Source organism: Homo sapiens, chromosome 8, assembly GCF_000001405.40.
Source record: "Homo sapiens chromosome 8, GRCh38.p14 Primary Assembly".
NCBI lineage: Eukaryota > Metazoa > Chordata > Mammalia > Primates > Hominidae > Homo > Homo sapiens.
The window spans coordinates 103673731-103699171 of record NC_000008.11 but is presented as its reverse complement, the minus strand read 5'-3'; the positions used below and the strand labels follow the sequence as shown (position 1 = coordinate 103699171).

Sequence of the window (25441 nt, the reverse complement as noted above, 5' to 3'; positions counted from 1 at the left end):
ATTCCATGGATACTAAAAGACTAATAATGGAATACTATGAACAAGTTTAGGCCAATAAATTCAGCTATTTATGAGGAACTAGACAAACTAAGATATAACAATGAAACCTTATTCAAGAAAGATAACCTGAATAACCCTATATCCATTAAGAAAACAAACCTTACTTAAAAACCTTCCCAACAAATAAAATTGCATGCCCACATGGCTTCACTGGTGTAATCTACCAGTTCTACACAATCTCTTCCAAAATGTTGAAGAGGAGGAAATACTTCCCAACACATTTTATCAGGCCAGCATTATCCCAATACCAAAACCAAAGAAAAACATTACAAGGAAGAAAAATACAGACACATGCCTCATGAATATAGAAGCAAAAGTTGTAAACAAAATTTTATTAAATCAGACAGGCACCATGGCATGTGTCTGTCGTCCCAGCTACTTGGGAGGCTGAGGCAGGAGGAACACTTGAGCCCAGGAGTTCAAGTCCAGCCTAGGCAACATAGCAAGACACTCATCCCCCAAAAAAATGATCAAATCAAATCCATTAATATATAAAAGAGATAATCCATCATGACAAAATGAGGTTTATCCCAGTAATACAAAGCTGATTTAACATATAAAAATCAACCAATGTATTTCACCACATTAAAAAACAAAATAAAAAACATATGATTAATCTCAACAGATAGAGAAAACACATTTGGCAAAATCCAACATCTATTCCTGATCTTAAAAAACCAACCAAACAACAACAACAAACTCAGCAAAGTAGGAATAGATGGCATCTGTGAAAAGCGTACAGCTAACTTTATACCTAATAGTGAAGACTAAAGGCTTTCTCCCTAAGATTAAGAACAATACAATGGAACGTCTGCTTTCATCCACTTTATTCAAAATTATACTGCAGTTTCTAGCCAATGTACCTAGTCAAGAAAAAAAATCATAATCAGGTAATCCAGGGGAAACAATTATAAGTGGTTAGTTCTTAGCAAAACAAAATAATGAAAAATGGGGATTAACAAGAAAATGAAGAAATGAAATCACATAGGGAAACGAATTTCCACCATTATGTCTAAGTAATGTATGTAAAAAAATAGCTTCCTATTTAAAAACTACTGAAATAAATAAGTAGGTGATAAGATTAGTAAGTAGATAAATGCAAAGTCTAAAGAATTTACTGACACAAATTTTTTTCTTTTGAGACAGAGTCTCTGTTGCCCAGGCTGAACTGCAGTTCTCCTGCCTCAGCCTCTTGAGTAGCTGGGACTACAGGCACACACCACCATGCCCAGCTAACTCTTGTATTTTTAGTAGACATGGGGTTTCACCATATTGGCCAGGCTGGTCTCGAACTCCTGACCTTGTGATCCGCCCACCTCAGCCTCCTAAAGTGCTGGGATTACAGGTTTGAGCCACCGCACCCTGCCCAAACTTTTTCTTTTTTGAGACAAGGTTTCACTCTGTCACCCAGGCTGGAGTGCAGTGGCACAATCATGGCTCACCACAGCCTTGACTTCTCCAGCTTAGGTCATCCTCCCACCTCTGCCTCCTGAGTAGCTAGGACTATAGGGGCCCGCCACCATGCCTGGCTAATTTTTGTGGGTTTTTTTTGTTTTTTTTTTTTTCGTAGAGACAGGGTTTCACCATGTTGCCCAAGATAGTCTAGAACTCCTGGGCTAAAGTGATCCGCCCGCCTTGGCCTACCAAAGGGCTAAGATTACAGGCGTGAGCCATCGTGTCTGGCCACAAGCATTTTAAAATGTTTTTGCTAATTTCAACAAAATATTATTTGGGTTGAATTAACATACTCTCTAACGTGAATAGATAAACACAATAAGCTTAACTAGAAGAGAACTGTAATTTTCATTTCTGTACCTTGTTTGAGCGTAATGACACTCGACCTCCACAACGAGCACAGAACTTTGTTTGGCAATATGAACAGTTATGGCCACATCCATCAGCAAACTTTGTTTTGTGGCAGATACCACAGGTTGGCGCATCACCCTTCTGTTCTTGCTGTTGCTGTGATTCTTCTCCCATCTTCTTTACCTGCTCTTTATACATTTCAAACTGCTGATGCAGTTTTCTGCAGAGAAAATAGATAAGAAAAAAAGTTGGTTTCCTGATGATCTCTAAAGGAAAAATTATCACAATTTATAGACACAGTTTTATAACCAAAAAAATACAAGATGAGAATAAAAAGAATGAAAATTTAATTTTCTGATGATAAATTAACACTTTTCATGGCACATTATTTGTAAAAGTATTGCAACTAGTTCTACCTTCTTTTTTTTTTTTTTTTTTTTTTTGAGACGAAGTCTCGCTCTGTTACCCAGGCTAAAGTGCAGTGACGCGATCTTGGCTCGCTGCAACCTCTGCCTCCCAGGGTCTAGCAATTCTCCCACCTCAGCCTCCTGAATAGCTAGGACTACAGGCACACACCACCACGCCAGCTAATTTTTATATTTTTAGTAGAGATGCAGTTTCGCCATGGCCAGGCCGGTCTCGAACTCCTGACCTCAAGGGATTCGCCTGCCTCGGCTTCCTGAAGTGCTATGATTACAGACCTGAGCCACCATACCCAGTCTCTACCTTCTAATATACATATTAAATAACCAATTAATATAATATGTTTATGGAAATATTTATTGAAATTATATTTCTAAATTTCTATCTTCCATTTGGAGTACATTTTCAATCATATGCTCTAAAATATTTACAATATTATTTTTCTACCATTTAACTTCAGAAATACAGAAAGCTAATTTGACTTACACAGTGAAGCCAAGACCTATGAACTTCAAATCACTGAGACACAGTCTCAATCAGAGTGATTAAAAAGAATCCAAAGAGAGAAAAAACACTAGATAGGCACTCCAGTCAAATGGAAGAAAACTTACATGCTATTAAAAATGAAGAATTCCTTCATTTTGGGGGCTCTTGAGTAGATTTGAAAGTGCTGAGGCAAATATAAATAAACTTAAAAATTAGTCAATAAAAATTATCCAAACTAAAAGAAAAAGAAAAATAGGTGGGGAATATAAAACAACAGTGCATCCAAGAGTTAACCCAACCTACCATATGTGTAATTGTTCACAGAAAAAAAATGGAAATGAAGGAAATATTTGAAGGGATTATGACCAAAAATTTTCCAAAACTAATGAGAGACAACAAATTAAACACAAGAACCTCAGAGAATCCCTGGAAGCACAAATGTCAAATCAACTACCAAATATAAACACATGCCCCTAGTCTGCCTTCATAGTCAAACTGCTAAAACCCAAAGATAAAGAAAAACCTTTGAAAGTGGCCAAAGAAAATACACATTGTATAGTGAAACCCAATAAGAATTAGAGAAGATTACTCTTGAGAAACCATGCAAGCTGGAAAGCTTTGGAGTGATGTCTATAAATTGAGAGAAAAACAAACAAACAAACAAAAAAAAACTGTCAACCCAGGATCTCATACACAGTAAAATTAGGCTTTAAAAAATATAAATAAGTAAATAAAAATTATAAAAATAAATAAAATTTAAAAATAAAAACTTTTCCAGATGGACACATATTGAAGAAATTCATTGGCAGTAGACCTTCACTGCATGGAACTTAAAAGAAGTTCTTGAAACAGAAAGAGTATGATACTCCTTGGAAGTATCATATGGAAAAAGAGACCTAGACAAAGAAATAAATGCTCATATTAAAAATAAAATGTGTCTCAAAAACTTAAGAAAATAGAAAATTAAACTCAAAGAAAGCAGAAGAAAAGAAATACAAGAGATTAGAGCAGAAATCAATGAAACCAAATGCTGGTTTTATGAAAAAAATCAATGGAGACTGACATAAGCAAGTTGAGGGAAAAGGACTTTCCAACATTTGTCCCTCAGCAGAAACATCAATTTGAACAACTACTCATATGTGAAAACACCTTCATGAGACCTAAGGAAACCAGGTGGGAGATTATAGCAACTAAGTGTAGCAAAAAAATAAAAGACGCACTGAACAGGGTAAAAAGGACAGTTTAACATTTCCTGTTCATCCCTCCCCAACCACAGACAACACAGCATAAACAGAGATACTCATCGCTAGGGGGAAAAAGAGAGAACAGAACACTCAACTCTGCCTTGAACTCCAATATCAGGCAATTGTTTACTGTTTCACCAATAAAATGAGGTGCTAGGCAGACCCCCACAGTCTCAGACATCAGGGTTGTATGCACAGACTGAGCCTCCAGGCCCACTCCAGTGCCAAAACAAATCCCACATCCCCAGGCTCCATGCCTGACCATCAGACTTGGTCTTTGGGCCTGCCCAATCTCCAGGATGACTCCAGACTTCTACAATGCCCTCAGTGCCAGGCTGGCTTCCCTGACCTCAGGCTTCAGGCACAACCCAGTATCAGGCCAGGCCCTGCAGTTCAATCATCAGGCTAGCACCCTCAGAACCAGCCTCCAGACAAGCCTCTGTGGATATAGGCTCCAGGCACACCTAGCACCAAACCAGCCCCCGTAGCCCAGGATCCAGGCTGGTATCTGCAGACCAAGCCTCCAAGCCCACCCTGGCATCAAGTGAGATCCCACAGCTCTAGGTTCCAGGCCTGCCCAGTAGACAAGGTCTATATGGAACCTCCAGGCATATTACAGAGCCAGGATAGCCCCAGCCATCCTGGGCTACTGAATACTCCCATTATTATACTGGCTCACATAGTCCCAGGTTACAAGGCATGTCCCAGCACAGCACAAGTGCCTAAAGCCCTAGTCATCAAGCCATCACACAAAGACCCAGCCTCCAGGATGGCACCAGAAGATACAAGTTCCAGGCCCACTCAGCAGAAGACCAGCCCCTGTAGCCCTAGCCTCCAGGCTTCCTTCAGGTTTCAGACCAGCTCAGTAAAACAGAGGCCCGTACTACTGCAAGCATCAGCCCAACACAGCAACATGTTAGCATCCTGGTCTAAGGCAAAGATCAGAACCTGCAAAAACAGATTCTAGGCATACCCAATGCCATGCTGGTCCCTGAGGCCCACCCTCCAGGCCAGCCCTTACAAAGCCACACTCCAGCAGACCAACAGATCAATAGTGTGACAGTAGAACCCAGTGCCAAGCCAAACCACATGGAAAAAGTCTCCAAATCCACTCTTGCGGACACAAGAACAAGTTCCACCCTAAAAGACTCGGGCCCCAGGACCAACCAAGCACCAGGTCAGGTCCCATGGACTCTGGGTCCATCCCAGTGCACCTGTGCACTAACACCATACCAACACCTAGCCAGCCCCTCCTGACACAGGCTCAAGGCCAACTTCAATGCCAGGTCAGCCTCTGTGGACCCAAGTTTAAGGTCAGTTCCCAAAGAAAGAGATTTGAGGACAAAGCCTGCAGACCAAATGAATCGGCCCACAACAGAGGCTCCAGGATCAAAGACTAACCCAACAAACCCAGGGGCCAGGGACACACACCTGCTGACCCAGGCACTGGTTCAGTCTCCCCAAGAATTCCAACAACAAGCCCACCTACCAACCATGCAAACAGCTTGCCCAGAATCACCACATGGGCTGACTGGTGAAGACATTTTCCAAACAAAGACAATCTAAACAGACTGGAATAAGTCCCTACTTCCTACATGCACAGACATCAACAGAAGGTAAGCATAATCATGAAAAACCAAGGAGATATAACACTACCAAAAAAGCAATCATTTCCAGCGAGGAAGAATAAGAAGATGGTGGAAGAGAAGCCTCCATTAATTATCCTCCTCACAGGAACACCAAATTGAACAACTATCCTCATAAAAAAGCACGGTCATAAGGACCAAAGATCAAGTGAGCAATTACAGTACCTCGTTTTAACTTTTATATAAAAAAGAGGCACTGAAGAGGGTAGAAAAAACAGTCTTAAATTCTCGATGCTATCCCTCCTTCACCTATCAGCAGCAGCCACAGGGTGCAGGAAGAGAATCTGTGAACTTATGGAAGGGAGAGTTTAGTAATTGTGGGACTTTGCATTGAAACTCAGTGATGACCTGTCACAGGGGAAAGCAACATCAGGCAGAACTCAGCCACCCCTCATAGAGGGAGCATTTAGACCAGCCCTAGCCAGAAGTGAATTGCCCATCACAGCAGTAGGAACCAGAGTTCAACCAAAGGTAAGCCCCATCACCATGAGCTAAAGGGGTCTGGGATCCTAAATAAACCTGAAAGGCAGTCCAGACCACAAGGACCACAATTCCTGGGCAATTCCTGATTCTGTGCTGGGCTCAAAGCCAGTGGATGAGGGGAGCATGCAACCCAGTGAGAAACCAGCTGAGGTGGCAAAGGGAGTGCTTGCATCACCCCTCCCCCAACCCCAGGTAGCAGAGCTCATAGTTCTGAGACTGTATCCCTCACTTGGAAGAGTATAAAGGACTTTGTCTGGCACCTTGGATACCAGCTCAGCCACAGTAGAATATGGTACCAGGCAGAGTTGTGAGGCCCCCATTCCAGGCCTTAGCTCCCAGACAACATTTCTAGAGATACTCTGGGCCAGAAAGGAACCCACTGCCCTGAAGGAAAGAACCCAGTCCTAGCAGGATTCATCAGCTGCTGACTAAAAAGCTTTAAGGCTCTGAATAGTCAGCAGGAATGCCCAGGCAGTACTTGCCATGGGCCTTGGGTGAGACTCACAGATGTGCTGGCTTCAACAAATTCCCAGTTGTGGTAGCCATAGGAAGAGACTTCACTGCTTGTGGAAAAAAGAGAGAAGAGTGGGAAGAACTTTGTCTTGTGGCTTGGGTCCAGCTCAGGCACAGTAGAATAGAACACCAGGTAGATTCCTAAGGTTTCTGACTCCAGGCCCTGGCTCTGAAATACCATTTCTGAGCTTGTCTGGGAAGAGGAAGCAACTCACCATCCTGAAGAAAAGGACAAAAGCCTGGCTGGCTTTAGCACTTGCTGATTGTAAAGCCCTTGAACCTTGAGTGAACACAGGTGGTACTCAGGCAGTGGTTGCTGTGAGCTTTCGGTGAGGCACAAGGCTGGGCTGGCTTTAGGTCTGACCCAGCGCAGTCTCATTGGTAGTGGCCACAGGGGTACTTGTGTCACTCTTCCTCAACCCCAGGCAGTCCCACACAGACAGAAAGAGAGAGACAGAGACTCCATTTGTTTGGGAGAGAATAAGGAAAGAGAACAAGAGTCTCTGCCTAGCAATCCAGAGAATTCTTCCAGATTTTACCCAAGACCTTATCCAAGGCAATACCTCTGTGAGTCTGCAACATTACTGGGATTGGTGTGGCCCCTTGTGAAGATACAGCTACACTGATCTAAGACATACATCACAATACCCAAGTCCCTTCAAATACCTGGAAAGCTTTACCAAGAAGGATGGGTACAAACAACCCCAGACTGTGAAGACTACAATAAATACTTTACTCTTTGATCCCCAGAAACCAAAGAACACCCACAAGCATCAAGACTACCCAGGAAGACATGACCACACCAAACAAACTAAGTAAGGCACTAGGGACCAATCCCAGAGAGACAGAAATATATGTCTTTTAAGACAGAGGAATTCAAAATAGCTGTTTTGAAGGAGCTCAATGAAATTCAAGATACCACGGAGAAGGAATTCAGAATCCTATCAGATAAATTTAACAAAGAGATTGAAATAACGTAAAAGAATCAAGTAGAAATTCTAGAGTTGAAAAATGTAACTGACATACTGAAGAATGCATGAGTCTCTTCAAAGCAGAATTGATCAAGTAGAAGAAAGAATTAGTGACCTTGAAGACAGGCTATTTGAAAATACACAGTCAGAAGAGGAAAAAAAGAACAAGAAACAATAAAGCACACCTACAAGATCTAGAAAATAGCCTCAAAATGGCAAATCTAAGAGTTATTGGCCTTAAATATATAGACAGAGATGGGGTAAAAGTTCGTTCGAAGGGATAATAACAGAGAACTTCCCAAACCTAAAGAAAGATATCAATATTCGAGCACAAGCAAGTTACAGAACATCAAGCAGATTTAACCCAAAGACTACCTCAAGGCATTTAATAATCAAACTCCCAAAGGTAAAGGATAAAGAAAGAATCCCAAAAGCAGCAAGAGAAAAGAAAGAGAAAACACAGAATGAAGCTCCAGTATGTCTGGCAGCAGACTTCTTAGAGGAAATCAAGACAAAGTAGCATGATTATTCAAAGTGTTGAAAGAAAACAACTTTTATCCTAGAATAGTACATCCAGTAAAAATATCCTTCAAACATAAAGGAATCAAGACTTCCCCAGACAAACAAAAGCTGAGGGATTTCATCAACATCAGACCTGCCAACAAGAAATGCTAAAGGGAGTTCTTCAATCTCAAAGAAGAATGTTAATGAGCAATAGGAAATCACCAAAGGTACAAAACTCACTAGTAATAGTAAATGCATAGAAAAACACAAAATATTATAACACTGTGATTGTGGTGTATAAACTACTGATATCTTGAATAGAAAGATTAAAAGATGAATGCATCAAAAATAGTAACTACAAAAACTTTTTAAGACATAGACACTACAGTAAGATATAAACAGAAACAACATAAAGTTAACAAGCAGGTGAGTAAAGGTTAAGTGTAGTATTTTTATTAGTTTTGTTTTTGCTTATTAGTTTATGCAGTCAGTGTTAAGTTGTCATCAGTTTAAAATAATGGATTCTAAGATGTTATTTATTAACTTCATGGTAACCTCAAATCAAAAAACATACAACAGATACACAAAAAGTAAAATACAAGCAATTAAAGCACACCACAGGAGAAACTGACCTTCACTACAAAGAAGACAGGAAGGAAGGAAAGAAGGAAGAGAGGACCATAAAGCAACCATAAAAAACAAAATGGCAGGAGTAAATCCTTATTAACATTGAATGTAAATCAACTAAACTCTCCAATCAAAAGACACATGCGGCCAGGAGCGGTGGCTCATGACTATAATCCCAGAACTTCAGGAAGCTGAGGTGGGGGGACCACTTGAGGTCAGGAGTTTGAGACTAGCCTGGCCAACATTCTGAAACCCTGTCTCTACTAAAAATACAAAAAAAATTAGCTGGGCATCATGGTGCATGCCTGTAACCCCAACTACTTGGAAGGCTGAGGCAGTAGAATCACTTGAACCCAGGAAGCAGACGCTGCAGTGAGCTGAGATTACGCCACTGCACTCCAGTCTGGGCAACAAAGTAAGACTCCATCTCAAAGAAAAAAAAAAAAAAAGACACATGGAGTAGCTGAATGTATTAAAACAAACAAACAAACAATCAAACAAAAAATCCAATATTCTGTTGCCTAAAAGTAACACACTTCACCTATAAAGATAAACATAAACTGAAAATAAAGAAATGGAAAAAGGAATCTTTCTATTCAAGATATCAGTAGTTTATACACCATAATCACAGTGTTATAATATTTTGTGTTTTTCTGTGCATTTACTATTACTAGTGAGTTTTGTACCTTCACGTGATTTCCTATTGCAAAAGGAAACCAAAAAAGGAGCAGGAGTAACTATACTTGTATCAGACAAAATAGATTTCAAGACAAAAATTATAAAAAGAAACAAAGAAGGTCATTATGTAATGATAAAGGAATCAATTCAGCAAAAGTATATAACAATTATAAATCTATATCCACAAAATACTGAAGCACCCAGATATTGAAAGTAAATATTATTAGAGCTAAAGAGAGAGATAGACCTAAATACAATGATAGCTGGAGACTTCAAAACCCCACTTTCAGCATTGGACAGATCATCCAGACAGAAAATAAACAAAGAAACATCAGACTTAATCTGCACTACAGACCAAATGGAATTAATAGGTATTTACAGAACATCTCATCCAATGACTGAAGAATACACATTCTTCCCCTCAGCACATGGATCATTCTCAAGGGCAGACCATAAGTTAGGCCACAAAACAAGTCTTTAAAAATTAAAAAAATAAAATAAAATTATATCAAGTATCTTCTCTGACCACAATGAAATAAAACTAGAAATCAATAATATGAGAAATTTTGGAAACTATGCAAACACATGGAAGTTAAACAATATGCTCCTGAATGACCAGTGGGTCAAAGAAGAAATTAAAATGCAAGTTAAAAAAATACCTTGAGACAAAGAAAAATGGAAACAACACACACCAAAATATATGTGATGCAGCATGGGCAATTCTAAGAGGACAATTATAACAATAAATGGGTAGATCAAAAAAAGAAGAGAGATCCAAAATAAACAGCCTAAAATTACGACCAAAGAAACTACGAAAAGAAGAACAAACTAAGCCCAAAGTTAGTAGAAGGAGGGAAACAATACGTATCAGCAGAAATCAGTGAAATCAGAAATTTAAAAAATAGAAAAGATAAAACTAAGAGTTGTTTTCTTAAAAAGATAAAATCAACAAGCTTTTAGCTCTAAATGAAATCAGGCATTAAAGAGGAGACATTAAAGTTCATACCACAGAGATACAAAGGATCATAAGACACTACTATGAACTAATACCAATCCTTCTCAAACTCTTCCAAAAAACTGAATAGAAGAGAATGCATCCAAACTCATTTTATGAGGCCAGCATTACCCTGATACTAAAGCCAGAAAATAAACTACAAAAATAATAAAATTACAGGCCAATATTCTTGATGAACATAGATGCAAAACCAAATACTAGCAACCAAATACTAGCAAACTGAATTCAACTGCACATATAAAAGGATCATCCACCATGATCAAGTTGGATTCCTTGATAGTTCAGAATGCAAAGATAGTTCAACATATACAATTCTATCAATGTGATACACCACGTTAACAGAACAAAGTACACAAACTGTATGATCATTTTAATAGATGCAGAAAAAGCATTTGATAAAATTCAATATCCTTTCATGATAAATAAACTCTTAAATTAGGTATACAAGAAATATATGTCAACACAATACAGGTGTTACATTACAAACCCACAGCTAACATCATACTCAACGGTGAAAAGTTGGAAACTTTCCTCTAAGATCAAGAAGAAGACAAGGATACCAACTATTGCAACTTATATTCAACATAGTAATGGAAATCCTAGCAAGAGCTATTAAGCATAAGAAAGAAATAAAAGGCATCCAAATTGAAAAGGAAATTTAATTGTCTCTGTTTGTGGACAACATGATCTTATCTACAGTAAACCCTAAAGACTCCAGTATGTTGAAGAGATATCCATATTCCTATGTTCATTGCAGCATTATTTACAATAGTCAATATATAAATCAATGTAAGTATCCATCAGTGAATGAATCAATAAAAAAAAATGCGGTATATATAAACAATGGAACACTATTCAGCTATAAAAAAGAAAGAAGTCCTGTCATTTGTTACAACACAGATGAACTCAGAGGACATTATGTTAAGTGAAGTAAGCCAGGCACAGAAAGACAAATACTGTATGATTTCATTTACATGTGAAATCTTAAAAAGTTCAACTCATAGAGGTAGAGGGTAGAATTATGATCACCAGAGACTGGGGTATGGGAGGTTAGGGAGATGTTGGTCAAAGGATACAAAATTTCAGTTAGATGGGAGATTCAAGTGATCTATTGTACAACATGATGTCTATAGTTAATAACAATATATTGTATTTTGAAAATCATAAGAGGGTAGACTTTGTTCTCACCACAAAAATAAGTATGTGAGATAATGCATATGGTAATTAGCTGGATTGAATCATTCCACAATATATACAGACTTCAAAACATCATGTTGTGTAAGTATACACAATTTTTGTTAATTTGAAATTAAATTTAAAAATTAAAAAAGCATTTAAGAAAAAAAAAATCACTAAAATTGATAAACCTCGAGTTAGAATGATGAAAAAAACAAGACACAAATTACCTACAGCAAGAATGACAGAGATTACAACAGAACTCACTATTAATCTAAATTAATTTAAAAGACTACAAAGGAATACTATAAGCAACCATATGCCCATATGTATGTATGTCTTTCTTTGAAAGACAGAAGCTAGCATACCTCATTCACCAAAAAAAAAAGATAGCTTGACAAGCTTTATATCCATTAAATAACTTTAATTCATAGTTTAAGAACCTTTCAAATCTAAAACTCTGGTTCCCAATGGTTTCATTGGTGAATGCTACCAAACACTGAAGGAAGAAATAATACCAATTCTACATAGTCTCTCCCAGAAAACAGGATGGAACATTTCCCAACTAATCTCTTAATGCCAGTATTACTCTGTCACTAAAACCACACAAAGAAGCTGGGCATGGTGGTATATACCTGTAGTCCCAGCTACCCAAGAGGCTGAGGCAGGAGGATTGCTTGAGTCCAGGAATACAAGGCTGCAGAGACCTATGATTGCACATTGTACTCCAGCCTGGGCAACAAAGCAAGACCCCATCTCTTAAAAAAAAATTACAAAGATACTGGAAGAAATTATAGACCAATAAAGTATTTCTCATAAGCAGATGTAAAAATCCTCAACACTAAAAATATTAACAAATCAAATCCAAAAATGTGTTAAAGAGTAATACCTTACAAATAGGTGATGTTTATCTTAGGAATGTAAGTTTGGAACCACATTTTAAATTCAAGCAATATAATCTGTCATATTAATATGATTACCTAAAAATATGCTGAGAAAGCATGTCACACAACTGCTTAGCAAACTAGGAATTGACAAAAACTTCCTTAGCACAGTAAAGGCATCTGTAAAACAGTCTACCACTAACATCACACTGTATGGTAAAAAACTGAATGCTTCCCCCTAAGATCAGTAATAAAGCAAGGTATCCTCTTTCACTACTTCTAATCAACATCAAACTGAAAATGCTAGCCACCACATTAAGGCAAGAAAAGAAAAGGAAAATAAAAAGCTTACAGATTAGAAAGGAAAATAGAAAACTATTTGCAGTTGCCCTACCTGTCTTTGTATAAAATCTCAAAGAAACTAGAAAGAAAAAACCTCTTGTAACAAATAAATGAATTTAGCAAGGTCACAGGATACAAGATCAATATACAAAAAACAATTACACGTGTATTTAGTAGCAATGAACAATTGAAAATGAATATTTTTATAAACAGTCTGCAACAGCAGCGAAAAATAAAAAAAGAAAAAAGATTCAGGTATAACTCTAATAAGATATGAACAAGCTTCCTATGGCGAAAACTATAAAACACTGATAAAAGTATCAAAGGAGACCTAAATAATAGGAAAAATATACCACATTAACCAATGGCAAGACTAAAATTGTTAAGATCACAATTCTCTTCAAATCAATCTATTCAATCAATGCCATTCCCAATAAAACTCCCAGCATTTTTTTAATAAAAATTGACCAGCTAGCTCTAAAATTTATGTGAAAAACAAAATCCTGGAATAAACAAAAATATTTTTTAAAAAAGAAGAAAGCTGAAAGACTCAAAGTACCTGATTTGAAGACTTACTATAAAAGCTGTAGTGATCAAGTAAACATGGTACTGACAAAGGATAAAGATACATATCAATGGATGCAATGGGAAGTCCAGAAGTAGTACAATACTTAGTGATCATTAACATTTTTTACAAAGGAGCTGAAGTAATTCAATGGAGAAAAAAATTGTCTTTTAAGCAATTAGAAATTTATATGTAAAACTAGTGATATCATTTGGATGTTTTGTACCCTCTAAATCTCATATTGAAATGTGATCTCCAATGTTGGAGGTGGGGCCTGGTGGGAGGTGTCTGGGTCATGGGGGTGGATCCCTCATAAATGGCTTGGTGCTCTCCTCATGCTAATAGAGTGAGTTCTTGCTCTGCTAGTTCACAGGAGAACTAGTTGTTTTAAAAAGTTTGGGACTACTCCCTGCCCTTGCTCCCTCTCTTGCCATGTGACATGTCTGCTTCCTGTTTGCCTTCCACCATGAATGGAGGGTTTCTGAGGCCCCACCAGAAGCCAATGACAGCACTTTGCTTCTTGTACAGCTTGCAGAACCATGAGCCAAATAAAACTCTTTCCTTTAAAAATTACGCAGGTATTTCTTCATAGCAATGCAAAACAGACTAACATAAATAGTAATTGAAAATCCAAAAAAAAAAAAGAAAAAGAAAATCCATGTGTAAAAAACAAAAACCTCAACTTGTATCTTACACCTTATATAAAAATTAACTCAAAATGAATTATAAAACTAAATATAATGGCTAAAACTATAAAACTTCTAGAAGAAAACATTCAAGAAATTCTTTGTGACCTTGGGATAAACAAAGACTTCTTAGATAGGTTAGGAAAAGATTTCTTTAATAGGATATAAAAAGTATGTGCCAGGTGAAGTGGCTCATGCCTGTAATCCCAGCACTTTGGGAGGCCAAGGTGGGCAGATCACCTGAGGTCAGGAGTTTGAGACCAACCTGGCCAACATAGGGAAATCCCATCTCTACTAAAAACACAAAAATTAGCCAGGCATGGTGGTGGGCACCTGTAATCCCAGCTACTCAAGAGGCTGAGGCAGGAGAATTGCTTGAACCTGGGAGGCGGAAGTTGCGGTGAGCTGAGATCACACCACTGCACTCCAACCTGGGGGATAGAGCGAGAGTCTGTCTCAAAAATAAAATAAAATAAAATAAAATAAAATAAAATAAAATAAAATAAAATAAAATAAAATAAAAAAAGTATGAACCAGAAAGTAGTCATGAACAATATATAAATGAATGAGTGTAGCTGTGTTCCAGTAAAGATTTATTTATGGGCACTGAAATTTGAATTTTATGTTGTTTTTACAATTACAAAATATCATAAACTTAAAAAAATTTAATCAACCATTTAAAAGTGTAAAAAACTATTTTTAACTTGCTGGTTATACACAAACAGGCAGTGGGATAGAACTGGCTTGTGTACCATAGACTGCCTACTTCTCTATGATATAGTTTCATTTATATGACATTCTGGGAAAAGCAAAATCAGATTAATGGTTGCCAGGGGCTGGAGTAGAGTGATGGGCACAAGAAACCTCTTGGGGAAAAGGAAATATTTCTATGTCTTGATTATGCTGATAGATTTTATGTTTGTCAAAACTCACTCAACTATATACAAAAAAGAGGTAAATTTTACTGTAAATAAACTATAGTTCATAAAACCTGACATTAAGAAAAGTTAGATTTCGAAGTGCTAACCTAAAGTCAGCCAGTAAATTAACAGATAAAATTCCAGGAGTCCTTATATCTACTTTGTCACAAAAGTATACTTCCTTTCTACACCTAATATCAATGAAAATTGCTTTAAAACCAATTTTATTAACTTTTTCTGTCACTTCAGATAATACCCTGCTTTTCCCTGATAATCTCACACCAGGTTTAAGTGAAGCTCTGCTAACACAAAACAAGCACCACTACAGGAGGTTCAGGCCCATAAATGAATGAGCTCTGCATTAGAACTTCTCCCACCATTTAAAAGAATCATCTTTCCAAGTGTAGAAATTTGACACATATTTGTACCTTTGTGCCATACTGTGCATTTCCACTGCAACACTGTTGATACACTTCCTAACTTTGAGATGCTTCTCAGTAAATGACTAAACCCCATTGGGAGAAAGAACAAGACAGAAAAAATAGAAAGAGCAATATTGTTTCAGTTCTGGAGGCATTGGAGTACTGGACAATTTACGAAGTGCTATGGTTTGAACGTCCCTGCCAAAACTCATGCTGAACTTAATTCCCAGTGTGGCAGTGTTGTGGCCTAGGAGTTGTTTGGGTTATGTGGACAGATATCTCATGAATAGATTAATGCTCTTCCTTGGGGGTGAGTGAATTCTTGGACTAAAATGGATTAGTTCTCACAAGAGTGAGTTGTCAAAAGACTCTGGCTTTATTCATTTTACTCTCTTACTTCCTCTTTAACCATGTTATCTCTTCACACCTGCCCACTCGCGTTCAGTTTTCTGTTAGAGTGGAAGCAGCATAAAGTCCTCACCAGAAGCCAAGCGGATGCCAGTGCCAGGCTTCTTGAACTTCTGAGCCTGCAGAAACATGAGCTAAATAAACTTCTTTTCCCTATAAATTACCAGCCTCAGCTATTCCATTAAAATAACACAAAATGGACTAAGATACCAAGGAACACTGGAACAGAAACTAAAAATCCAGGTGACTGAACTGTGCTATAACTATAATGACTATGCCTCAAGGGAAGTGGAAGCCGCATTTCTCACACACAAGAGTAGGCCAGTTAAATTAGTAGCAGAGCTAGTAACTATTTATCCCAAACTGTCATATTAGATATTTAAAACTCTCTTACATAAGAACTGTAATGATCCCAGATACTGCAGCACTATCAAGGCTGCAAAATGGAATCAAATGGTTCCAGCTGTAGGAAGAACAGAGATACAGAAGCTACAAGCCAGATAAGACAATGTCTTGATAAGACAGTAATTTGAGGTACTAAGAAACAGTATTTACCTTACTTTAGTTTGAGGTACTAAGAAAGATTTTTTTAAAAAATTTTATTTATTCATCCTACCAGGCCTATAAAATGAGACACTGCTAGACAAAGAGGTGGTGGTATATGGGCAGACTCAGGAGTTAATTGACGTTCCTTGCCAAGATCATATCTTCCCTTCCCATTTACACATAAACAAAATTCTCTGCTTCCTCATGCCAGGCACTCTTCTACTCTATCTCATCACTTTCCAGTCTACTTCCTAATGCTCACTAAATTTATCAATGGCTTCCATGTACCTAAAATTAATGGACAAACGTTTCAGTCATCATATTACTTCAGTTCTGAACAATATTTAAAACTATGTGTCACAGTCCTCACTGTCCACTTAGCTTTTGTAAGACTCCTGGTTTTCTTCCTGTATCTAGGTCCTTTCATTTTCTTTCTCCTTCGCAGGTCAAGACTCATGCCCTCTTCTCTTTTTATTATGTAGAGTCTTCTTAGGCATTTTTATCCATACTTAAGGCTTCAACTTCCACCTATATATAAGTGACTTATAAATGTATACCTCTAGTTCAGACTTTTCCTCTGAGCTTCAGTATTCAATCGCCTACTTAACATTTCTATTTAAATTTCTCAATGCCACCTCAAATTCAAGAAAACTCACAGTTTTCCTACGCAAACCAGATTCCCTTCCATTGTTCCCCATATCAGTAAAATGGTGCCACCATTCAATTATACAGGCCTGAAATCTGGAATTACTCTGGAAATGTCTCTCTCCCTCAAATGCATAATTTATCTACCAATATGTCCTTTCAATTTTACATCCTACATGTGCTTTGAATCCTTCCACTTGTCTCCATTATATGCTGCCAATACTATAGGTCTTGCTAACATCAATTCCCACCTAATCTAGAGAATAGTCTCCTAGTTAGGCTACTCACATCCATGCTTCTTCCCTTCAATCTACTCTGTACACTGCAGAAAAAATTATCTCTACTTAAAAAAAAGAGTTATTCTTCTCTCACTGCTAATTGTTCTTAAGAAAAATCTTATGAGGACCTATAAAACCTTGGATATACTATACACATCTTTAACTTAATTTTTTTGCAGTTTCTTTTCCCACTTTCTGCTAAAGCCTTTCTTTCAATCCTTTTTCTTTCATCCCATTATAGACTATATTTTATACATGCTCTTGCCTGTCTAGAATGAATGAATGGATTGCTATGTACACTTTTTTTAATTCTCTTTTTTAAAACCTTAGGTATCCATAATATAATTGATCATACCCTTGGTAGCACTGGTCCACGCTTGGTTCTTGTTCTAATTAACTATTTTCCCTTCCCCAATTTGATTTCCCTTCCCTGAGGAAACCAGTCTTGTACATTTACATATATGGCATGTGTGCCATTTACTTATTTCCATTTATTTTTGTCATTCAATTTTACATTTTTATATTAAAATCTAAATAGCTAATGTGCATGGTACTTACTATGTAACAGGTAAATAGATGCTGTTATCATTATTCATATTATTGTCCCTATTCTACAGACAAGTTATGTGGCTCATAGTCAAACAGCTGGTAAATGGTAAAAGCCAAATCCAAATTTAGTGTTGTTCCAAGAGTTCGTGCTCTTTACCCCTATAGTTGCTGCATCTAGTTCATGCATTTTAATGGCTGTATAATGTTTCTGTTTGGATAATCACATTTTATTCATCCATTTCTTTAAGTTGGCTCTTTATAATTCGTTACTCTTTAATATATCTATGCCATATTTTTTAAACCCATATAAAGTTTTCCCTAGGGCATTTACGCAGAAATATGACGAACATACTAACATTCACTAGATACTTTTTAACTGCTCTTCCAAATGGATTAACCCTGTTAGTACACCTGCAAGCAAAGTATGAATATTCTAGTTTTCTCTCATTCTTGCCAATGTGTGATTATTACTCAACTTTTTAAATTTTTGCTGATTTGATAGGTATTAATTGATGTCCCATTTTTTAGTTCATAGTTTTCTGATTTCAATGAAATCCAGTCAATTTGACTGCCCTTCCGATGAACTGCCTATTCATATCCTTTACTGGATTGGATTTCCTGTATTATTCTTCATGATATGCAGGCGTATACTATATAGCCTATATATACATAGTTGAACATAGGACATTTCTTCTCTCAGTCTGTTAATTTTGCTAAACAGAAATCTTTAATTTTGAGGTAGTCAAATACTTCAATTTCTCCCTTCATCATTTGTAGCTTTGGTGGCTGGCTATATAAAACAAAACAAAACAGAACAATCTTACCTACCCCTAAGTCAGGCACCAAAAATTTCTGTGGTTTCTTCTAGTAGCTTTATAATTTTACCAGTCATATTTAGGCTTTTAATCAATCTGAAGTTTATTTTTATATGTGCTGTGATGCAGGGATTTAATGTCAATCTTCTCCATATAGAGATCCTATATTCCAAGCATCATATACTAGCTAGTTCGTCCTTTCTTCCACTGATTTGTGATATCAATCTATCATATACTAAGTTCCCATATATACATAGGTCTGTTTATGAACTCTGCATTCTATTTCAATGGTGTTTTTGTCTGCCTTTACTCCATAACAAGATAATAACAACCAAACTCCAAATAAAATTAAAGATCCAAAAAATCTTAAATATATAAATTTGAATATATAACTTTCTAGTGATGTAGATCAGAAGTCAACAAACTTTTTCTGTAAAGCACCAGACAGTAGCTAATTTAGGCCTTGTGGTCCATACAGTCTCTGTCACTACTCAACTCTGCCACTGCGATGCAAAGGCAACCACTAATAATATGAAAACATGAGTTTGACTATATTCCAATAAAATGCTATTTACAAAAGCAGATAGCAGGCAGGATTTTGGTCCACAGGCCATATTTTGCAAATTCTTGATGTAGATAAAAGAGGCAAAGATATAATCATAAAACTAGTTTAAAACTTTTATTACAAATAAATATTTAAATAAATATAAATTTAGAAATATTTTTCTACTTTCTTATCTCATAAAGTTATTGTATCTAAATTTTTCAGGTATATCTTCTATATCAAAGTCTCCCTCATCACTAAGGAAACTAAATGAATTCAGTATTTTCTAAAGTAAATATTTTTCACTTCTGAGTTCTGTGAAATAATGAAACTTCTTCAATTCATATTTACTGCTGTTCCTGGCAATTTTTTCCCCAGCCACTTAGTTTTGTTGTTGTTGTTTACCTATTCATATTATAAGTGTGTTTTCATATTCTCCAAAAGTTAACTACCTCTATTACTCCTTTTTAAAGTAATCTTTTAAAAAGTTTGTTTACTAGGATTTCCAACACTTGCCACTGTGAGGTCATACCACTGTGAATTTCTTGATTGATGTTAAATTTCTTGTTTCTCTATAGGATAGGTATACAAAACTAGATTTGTTTGAGGTCCCTTAAGGATAATATGTTCTCTCCAAGCAGTTCTCTGTAGTTCAAAATAAAGAAATTAAGAGCTCCTCATAAGATAAGATTTATGAGGACTCAAATTGAGCAGTTTCCTTTTGCTAGAGGGTTGGTTTCGGGGGAAGGGGAGAATCCATATATTTCAGGATATATAGTGTTCTGGCTTTGTAACTTGCTTTGCTATCTGGTAAAAAGGGTTTGCCTCTGGTCTTCTTCATGGAAACTTACCATTTGTAAAATGACTTCTTCCATATAAATATTATAACCCTTTTATCCAACTTTCTTGAAAATCCTAGAGGGACTTTTATTAAAATTGCATTATATTTATAGATTACTTTTAGGATAATTGACATCTTCACAGTGTTGAGTCTTCCCACCTAAAAACATGTGTCGGCATTTATTGCCAATCCTTAAAAAAAACAGTAACCACCTGTATGGATTACAAGTGATTCTTTTAACTCAAATTTTTCTATCTTAACTTGTGATCCACCCCCAGATAGTCCATGAATAGATTGGTATTTCAATTGAATTGACTTCCTTTTTAATTGCATGTATTATCTTTTATGCATTTAAAAACATTTTGAGAAAGAATCGATAGGCTTCAACAGGCTGTCAAACGTATTCATATACAAAACAGATTAAGGACCTCCAATAAATATTTCCATGTTCTATATGTTGTTTCAGAAAGAAAGAAAAAGCAAGTTCTCTAACAATGTCATGAAGCTAATATAACCATACTTTCTACTCTTCACTTCCATACTCCTACTTATTCTCATGCACTTCAATATCACTTCCTTGGAGAGGTATTCCTTAACATCACTGACTAGGTCAAATCCCTCTGTTAAATATTATCAAAGCACTGTATTATATGACATTTACTACAGTTGCACCTTTTGTTCATGTATGTAATTATCTCATTAATCTCTACCTCTCTAATTAGAAAAGTCATGAGAATTGCTTTGTCTGTTTTTGCTTTCCAGTTTATCCCAGTGACTAGCATAATACATGGCTCATAGTCAAGTTCTCAATACTTACTGAATGTTTACATTAATAATGAATAAACAAATATGTATTGTGTGTATATTATTTGATACATGATAGAGAAAAACATAAAGTTGAATATTACCCTGTTCTTGTCATCAGTAAAATAAGATAGATATGAACATGCATAGATATGAGACAGACATGGAAACAAATATAATTAAGTCTATTAAATTAAGTTTAGCCTACAGCTGGCTCCTTATAAGTTTGTCCTAAAGGTTTCGCCATACATCTGTCTGGAGTACAGTTACATAGTGAACTGTAACCTAAATGGATGTATACACAGACTGTAACCTACTCTTGTAACTATCACTGAGTTTCAGCAAAGCACAGATAAATAAATAAATGCATACACACATACATACAGAATAAATAAATAAGGCAAGCACCTAACTGTAACTAATTCAGCTCCTTCTGTACATCTCTTCTGTATTTTTGTATGTCACTTCTTTTTTTTTGTCCACGAATCTTTTCCAACCACACAGAAGCACTGGAGTCTCTCTGACTCTGTTCTGGTTGGGGGGCTACCTGAGTCACAAATCATTCTTTGCTCAATTAAACTGTTAAATTTAATTTGCCCAAAGTTTTTAATTTTACCACATGGTATCAGAAGTAGGAACCAAAATAGAGCTTCTAGTGAGCCCCAGGAGCATTGGGTAACCAAGCAAAGTACCTGCCTGGCCATTGTGTCCATTGCTGTCCCAGAAACTGGAGACTGTGGGTAAGTTCTCTCTCGGATTCTTAAGATCCATGGATTTCTGTTTTGAGCTATCTAAGTTTGTTTGAGCAAATTTTTTATCTGAACTGGGTTCAGAAGTTATGACAGAAACTAAACTGGGTCCCAGATCACACTCTATCTGATAATTATCTGGCCTGATTCCAGTTAGAGGCCTAAGGTGTCTGACTAGGTCAGGTAGAAACTGGCAGTAAATGACAATATTGCATGGGATGTGAACTCCAGCTTTCAGGAGTTCTCAAAGACTTTTGTGTACCATCCCCTTTGTTTCTTTTTTTTTTACACACTTAAGTAGGAAAAAATCATTGGCTAAGTTGATCAAGCGGATCTGAGAGGCAAAGCCAAGATTCCATGTGAAAATGGAATCCTAATTTCTAAAGAACTGAGTACATCAACTTCCAACTATATCTACATTTACCTGTATAAGTATTAAGCCCCAAAAGCATCAAACACTTGGAGAAATGGCAAAATCTGACTAAAGGTAATTTAAAATTACACTGAAACATTCCAAATGAATGACACTACACTTTAAAAAGTATATTTTATTTATTTTTAAGACAGTCTTACTCTGTCACCCAGGCTGGAGTGGACTGGCACAATCTCAGCTCACTGCAACCTCTGCCTTCTGGGTTCAAGCTATTCTCCTGCCTCAGGCTCCTGAGTAACTGAAATTACAGGCATGCGCCACCATGCCTGGCTAATTTTTTGCATTTTTAGTAGAGACAGTGTTTCACCATGTTGGCCAGGCTACTCTTGAACTCTTGACCTCAAGTGATCCACCCTCCTTGGCCTCCCAAAGTGCTGGGATTACAGGTGTAAGCCACCATGCCCAGCCAAGGAGTATATTTTAAAATGAGGGCTCCTGAATTAAGCTCACCCAGATATTCCTATTGATATGCAGAAGCTTCTAAAAATATTTCAGTATTGTTATTCCCTCTTTATTAAAAAAAAAAAAGACTTTAAAAGGCAAATAAAAAGCTTAAGCAACTAACTGAGAAGAAGAATTGAATCTGCTTAACTTTTGGCTTAATTAATATCCTGTTCTGAAGGAAAAAAGAAAGCTATTCTGGATAAAGTGTTTATAAAAGGTAGGCCCTCAGGTAAAGTAGACTTGCTTCTTTTTAAGAGCTATACATGCTAAATCCAGGCATAAAGGCTTTCTTTGCCCTATTCCTTAAGGGGCTCTACCCTGAGCTCAGTAATTTTAGCTAAGAAACAATAGCTTAGTTTAAAAGACCACCTATTGAACTAAATTGTTTTGAAAATATACCTTTCTGGCATTTAACAGTCTATATAAAAACCCTTTTGCAAAAAAGTTTACATCTATAAGGAAATTTCCATTTGTAAGGGTGTATGAAAGGGAAGACTAGGTCACTAGGAACTCTTACCATTGTTTTAAATTTACATAACAAGTCTTACCTTTGTTTAAGGTAGTTTTCTGGCCATCTTGTCTTAAATGGGTCTTTATGTACCTTTTTTCCTTGGGTTGAATAAATGGTGATAGGATATTTAGGCCTAAAGTCTCAGCTCTGTGCTTTTCAGATATAAATTTTCTACCTTTTTTTCACCTAAGAGTCATCACTTTAAAAGACAAATTGTTGCTTAACTAATAATTGCTTAGGACAAAAAAACAGGTATTTGTAAGACTGATAGAGTAAATAGAGAAAAGAAAAACTATTTAAAAGTCCACAAACCAGAATTCCTTATAAAAGCTAAAAGATCTGCTTTTGTCTGAGTGTCTGTATGTCTGCAAGTCTGTATGTGTTATGTGCATGTGCTGATACTTTGTAAAAAAAAAAGGAGTTTTAAAATTGTTGGTAAAAAAAATAAGAATGGCTTCATAATTGTCAGTTAAATATAATACGGTAATTTCTGCCTGGGTGTACTGGTCAGATAGGCTTATGCTATCTCTGTTACATGTTTCAAGGTCACAAAACTGCTGCTTCCTTAATATTTTTAATACTTGTTTAATTTGACGGTGAACTTATGTTTATGTTTCAAGCCTCTAGGTTCTGGGATCTGGACAGGCATCCAAGGTAAGACCTGAAGATATGTCCTCAGTACTTAGACCACCAGCTGCAGGGCCGAGTCAAGCCCATTCCTCCCTGGTCCAGTTTTGCCTCCTAGCCATTCTGCAAAGGGTTGCATGGAACAGGAATCACTTTCACAGCTGTCTTCTCTTCTGAGTTCTACACCTAATATGTAAATTCAGGACCCAGATGGGCCCTGGCCTTCATAGCCATCCAGGATGCCATGTGGCTACCTGAGACCCAGGACTACTAGGAAAGACTTTAGAGAGGGTAACATTTCAAAATTCTTTTCAGGACCAGTTCTGGTGGCTCATGTCTGTAATCCTAGCACTTTGGGAGGCCAAAGCGGGCAGATCACTTGAGGTCAGGAGTTCGAGACCAGCCAGGCCAACATAGTGAAACCCCATCTCTACTAAAAATACAAAAAATTAGCCGGCCATGGTGGCGAGTGCCTGTAATCCTCGCTACTCAGGAGGCTGAAGCAGGAGAATCATTTAATCTTTTCAGTAGTTTAAAATCTTCAAATCATATTAAATTAAGTAACAAATAATCAAAAAATGATTCATTTGTAAGTAAATTAAAATATTGAAACATTAATTATTAAATATAAATTCAAGGTTATATACTTTGGCATCTTACTTTTATGTTGCATAAAAATGCTAAACATATTTAAATCAATTAAACAAAAATTTGAGAAAACATAATTCTAAAAATCATAAAATCATTTTCATCAGCAAATGCTGATATAAAACAGTTCAAAATTACTTATGCTAGGTTTTCACTAAAAACCAGGGTTACTAAGAGTTAAAATTATAGTTAATGTGTGTAATTATAACTACTAGATATAGGAAAAACAATTCTATATACAGTGTATAAAGAAAAGTAAGATATGTTTTTAGTGAGAAAAGTTGTAAAGGCATAAAAATATGCATTTGTTGAGAAAATCAATTCTGCCCATCTAGAAGTTACTTAAAGGTTGCTTCAAATTAAAAAAATAAAAAAGATATAGATACAAAAAAAACAGTTAAAAATAAAAAGAATTTTAAAATTTTCTAAGAGATCATAAAAGGTTTATGAAAATCTTGTGTGGTCAAAAGCTATCTGAGACTGGATGGATTTGCTTATAAGATTTTAGCAATATTAACTTCTATATTGATAGTATCAAGGAGTAGGGCATTGCTATAAAGATACCTGAAAATGAGGAAGCAACTTGGGAACTGGGTAATGGGCAGATGTTGGAAGAGTTTGGAGGGCTCAGAAGAAGAGAGGAAGATGAAGGAAAGTTTGGAACTTCTTAGGGACTGATTAAACAGTTGTGACCAAAATGCTGATAGTGGTATGGACACTAAAATCAAGGTTGGCAAGGTCTCAGATGGAAATGAGAACCTTACTGGGAGCTGGAACAAATGTCATGCATGTTATGCCTAAGCAAAAAGTTTAGCTGCATTCTGCTCATGTCCTAGGGACCTGTGGAAGTCTGAACTTCAGAGTGATGACCTAGGGTATCTGAAGGAAGAAATTTCTAAGCAGCAAAAAGTTCAAGATGTGGCCTCCCTGCTTCTAACAACCTATACTCACATGTGGGACCAAAGAATAATCTAAAGTCAACAATTACATTTCAAAGGAAATAGAGCCTAAAAGTTTGGAAAATCTGCAGTCTGGCCATGTGGCAAAGAAAAAGCTTTTATGGGAGAGGAATTCAAGCTGGCTGTGAAGCAACAACTTACTAGAGATATTTATATTACTAAATGGGAGCCAACTGCTAATATTCAAGA

At 36.6% G+C, this 25441-nt stretch overlaps 1 protein-coding gene across 47 annotated transcripts in view, besides 2 other annotated features; it reads right to left on the bottom strand.

Moving 5' to 3' along the window:
• RIMS2 (regulating synaptic membrane exocytosis 2) overlaps nt 1-25441 on the bottom strand; it is a 755485-nt gene that overhangs the window by 556923 nt on the left and 173121 nt on the right. For all 47 annotated transcript variants that reach the window (NR_145710.2, XM_017014015.3, XM_017014010.3 and 44 more), the window contains one exon: nt 1876-2086. Coding sequence is in view for 46 of the 47 variants with exons in the window: in XM_017014015.3 (XP_016869504.1) it covers nt 1876-2086 (211 nt within the window). In the remaining variant the exon portion in view is untranslated. The remainder of the gene's footprint in view (nt 1-1875; nt 2087-25441) is intronic.
• Nucleotides 21852-22678: an enhancer, noted in NCBI's record as "NANOG-H3K27ac hESC enhancer chr8:104688722-104689548 (GRCh37/hg19 assembly coordinates)". NCBI's record gives its function as "activates a minimal SCP1, AML or CMV promoter by ChIP-STARR-seq in primed H9 embryonic stem cells {active_cell/tissue: H9 hESC(primed)}" and the evidence as "EXISTENCE:reporter gene assay evidence [ECO:0000049][PMID:30033119]".
• Nucleotides 22679-23506: an enhancer, noted in NCBI's record as "OCT4-NANOG-H3K27ac hESC enhancer chr8:104687894-104688721 (GRCh37/hg19 assembly coordinates)". NCBI's record gives its function as "activates a minimal SCP1, AML or CMV promoter by ChIP-STARR-seq in naive and primed H9 embryonic stem cells {active_cell/tissue: H9 hESC(naive and primed)}" and the evidence as "EXISTENCE:reporter gene assay evidence [ECO:0000049][PMID:30033119]".